This window comes from Homo sapiens, chromosome 1 (assembly GCF_000001405.40).
Source record: "Homo sapiens chromosome 1, GRCh38.p14 Primary Assembly".
NCBI classification, from domain to species: domain Eukaryota; kingdom Metazoa; phylum Chordata; class Mammalia; order Primates; family Hominidae; genus Homo; species Homo sapiens.
The window spans coordinates 168498581-168502227 of NC_000001.11; positions in this window are offsets into that span (position 1 = coordinate 168498581).

Sequence of the window (3647 nt, forward strand, 5' to 3'; positions counted from 1 at the left end):
CTGGTTTTATGCCAATAACTTACAATGTGCATGTAGCTAGATACACTGGGCCCTCTCCCATGGGCAGCACCCTCAAGCTTCCTCAGGGCCTTCATGCTTTTGTGCTGTTGCTCCCTGTGCTGTTGCTTCTGGAATAAATATCTCCCAGAAGAGAAGATAGAGGCATCTTCTTCAGTCTGAAGGGCAGGGTATTAAATTATTATTGATTTGAATTAAAAATGGTTGCTTTAAGTGAGAGATCATGTATTTGTGGGAATGCTACCAGGCTAGAAGTTTGTAAGCCTGCCCTCTCTCTGGTTTGACCACTATTTGTCTGTGTGAATTTAGGCTATCACATAAACTCCAGGTCCTTGTTTGTTCATCTCTAAAATGAGAGAGATGGTCAGCGCTTCTCAATATTTTCAACAAAATTGTCTTCAATAGAAAAAAGTAAAAGCATATATATAAAATTGCCATGTTAGAGCATGCCAAGTAGTTCACAGTTCCCTTTTGCCTATAGGATAGTATAAACTCTTTCACTAAACATTCAAGGCCCTCTACAGCCTGGATCCAGTTTATCTTTCTGCCCTGCTGTGATATCACTCACTTCCATATATGCTGTCTGCCCGTGTGCCTTTGTTCATTCTTCCATCAGCGTGGAATGTCCTTTCTCCTTTCCCTCCCTCTTTATATCCAATGCATCTCTTAAGGCCTGCTTCAAATGTCATTTCCCATGCAAATTTTCTTTGATTCCTTCAGAAATAATCCCCTCCTTTTTAGTTTAACCATGCCTCTCTTGTTGTACACCCTTTCTGCTTTGCTTTTGAATTCATTTTCTTATCTCTTCTGCTGCTTTGTATGTTTCTTGGGGGTCATTATGGTTTCTGTTTCAACTTGGTATTCCTCTTACTTCCCTCCACTAGTTCGATATCTAGTACAGAATCTTATATGCTAGCACAGAAGCCTGTTTCCATTAAATTTTGTTGAAATAGTAAATTAGTCATAAAGAGGTTAAAGCAAGACAGTATTGCTGAAACAACAGCATCTATCTGCATTGCTGAAAAAAAATCCTTAAAGAAATTTTACTGTTGATTTTTCATCAATACCATAGCTTTTTAATTACATAATATTTAGTTAACCCTTCATTATTTATGGTCTTTTAAAAATATGTGATTACCTTTTATTTCTAAAACAGCCTTTGTAGGTATATAAACAGGCATACCTTGGAGATATTGCAGTTTCGGTTCCAGACCTCCCCAGTAAAGCAAATATTGCTATGAAATGAGTCACAGAATGGTTTTGGTTTCCCAGTGCATATAAAAGTTGTGTTTATGTTATACGTTAGCCTATTAAGTGTGCAATAGCATTATGTCTAAAAGATAGTGTACATACCTTAATTAAAAAAGATTTTATTGCTTAAGGAAACTGATGATCATCTGATCTTTCAGCAAGTTGTAATCTTTTTGCTGGTGAAGTGTCTTGCCTCAGTGTTCATGGCTGCTGACTGATCAGGGTGGTGGTGGCTGAAGGTTGTGATGCCTGTGGCAATTTCTTAAAATAAGACAACAGTGAAGAAGTTTGTCACATTGATTGACAATTCCTTTCATGAAAGATTTTTCTGTAGCATGTGATGCTGTTTGACAGCATTTTACCAACAGTAGAACGTCTTTCAAAATTGGAGGCAATTCTCTCAAACCCTGCTGTCACTTTATCAACTAAGTTTATAGAATAGTCTAAATATTTTGTTGTCATTTCAACAATGTTCACAGCATCTTCACCAGGGGTAGATTCCATATCAAGAAACTTTCCTTGCTCATTTATAAGAAGAAATGCCTCACCCATCCAAGTTTTATCAAGGAATTGCAGCAATTCAGTTACATCTTCAGGTTCCACTTCTAGTTCTAGTTCCACAGTTACTTCCTTTACTGATGTCTTAAACACCTCAAGTCATCCATGAGGGTTGGAATCAACTTCTTCTGAACTCCCATGAATGTTGATATTTTCACCTCCTCCCATAAATTACAAATGTTCTTAATGGCATCTAGAATAGTGAATCATTTCCAGAAGGTTTTCAAATAACTTTGCCCAGCTCCATCAGAGGAATCACTATCTATGCCAGCTAGAGCTTCGAAAAATGTGTTTCTCAAATAACAAGACTTGAAAGTTGAATTGATTCCTTAATTCATGGGCTGAAGAATGAATGTGCTAGCAGGCATGAAAACAACATGAATCTCTGTATATCTCTATCAGCGATAGGCTACGTGTGCTGGGTGACTACGTGCATTGTCAATGATCAGTAATATTTTGAAAGGAATTTTTTTTAATGTGCAGTAGGGTTCAACAGTGGGCTTAAAATATTCAGTAAACTATGCTGTAAACAGATGTGCTGTCATTAGGCTGTGTTGTTTCATTTATAGAGCACAGGCAGAGTAAATTTAGTATGATTTTTAAGGGCACTGAGATTTTCAGAATGGTAAGTGAGCATTGGTTTCCACATACAGTCTCCAGCTGCATTAACCCCTAACAAGAGAGTCTGCCTGTCTTTTGAAGCTTTGAAGCCAGATATTGACTTCTCCTCTCTAGCTACAAAAGTCTTAGATGGCATCTGCTTCCAATAGAAGACTGTTTCATTTACATTGAAAATTTGTTATTTAGTGTATCCACCTTCATCAATTATTTTAGCTAGATTTTTTGGATAACTTGCTGCAGCTTCTACACCAGCACTCACTGCTTCATCTTGCACTTTTATGTTATGGAGATAGCTTTGTTCCTTAAAAATTATAAACCACCTTCTGTTAGCTTCAGATGATTCTTTTGCAGCTTCCTCACCTCTGTCAGCCTTCATAAATTTGAAGAGAGTTAAGGTCTTGCTCTGGATTAGGCTTTGGCTTAAGGAAATGTTGTGGCTGATTTAATCTTCTATCCAGACCACTCGAACTTTCTCTGCATTAGCAATAAGTCTGTTTGGCTTTTTTATCATTCATGTGTTCACTGGTGTAGTACTTTTCATTTCCTTCAATAACTTTTTCTTTGCATTTACAACTTGGTTAACTGTCTGGCACAAAAGGCCTAGCTTTCAGCCTATCTCAGCTTTTGACATGCCTTCATCACTAAGCTTAATTATTTCTAGCTTTTTATTTAAAGTGAGAGATGTGCAAACATTCCTTTCACTTGAAAACTTAGAAGACATTGCAGGATTATTAATTGGCATAATTTAAAAATTGTTGTGTCTCAGGGAATAGGGAGGCTTAAGGAGAGAGAAAGAGATGAGGGAATGGTCAGTTGGAGCAGTCAGAACACATACAACGTTTATTAAGTTTGCTCTCTCATATGGGCATGGCCCAAAACAATTATAATAGTAATATCAAAGATCACTGATCAGAGATAGTCATAGCAGATAGAATAATAATGAAAAAGTTTGAAATATTGTGAGAATTACCAAAATATGACACAGAGACATGAAGTGAGTACATCCTGTTGGAAAAATGATGCTGATAGACTTGCTCAACATTGACTTACCACAAACCTTCAATTTGTAAAAAATGCAATATCAGTGAAGTGCAATAAAGTGAAGCTCAATAAAATGAGGTATGCCTAACTCCAATATAATGATGACATTAATCACCTGAAGTTAATGCAGACTCCACAACTTAAGGATGCAGTCCCCC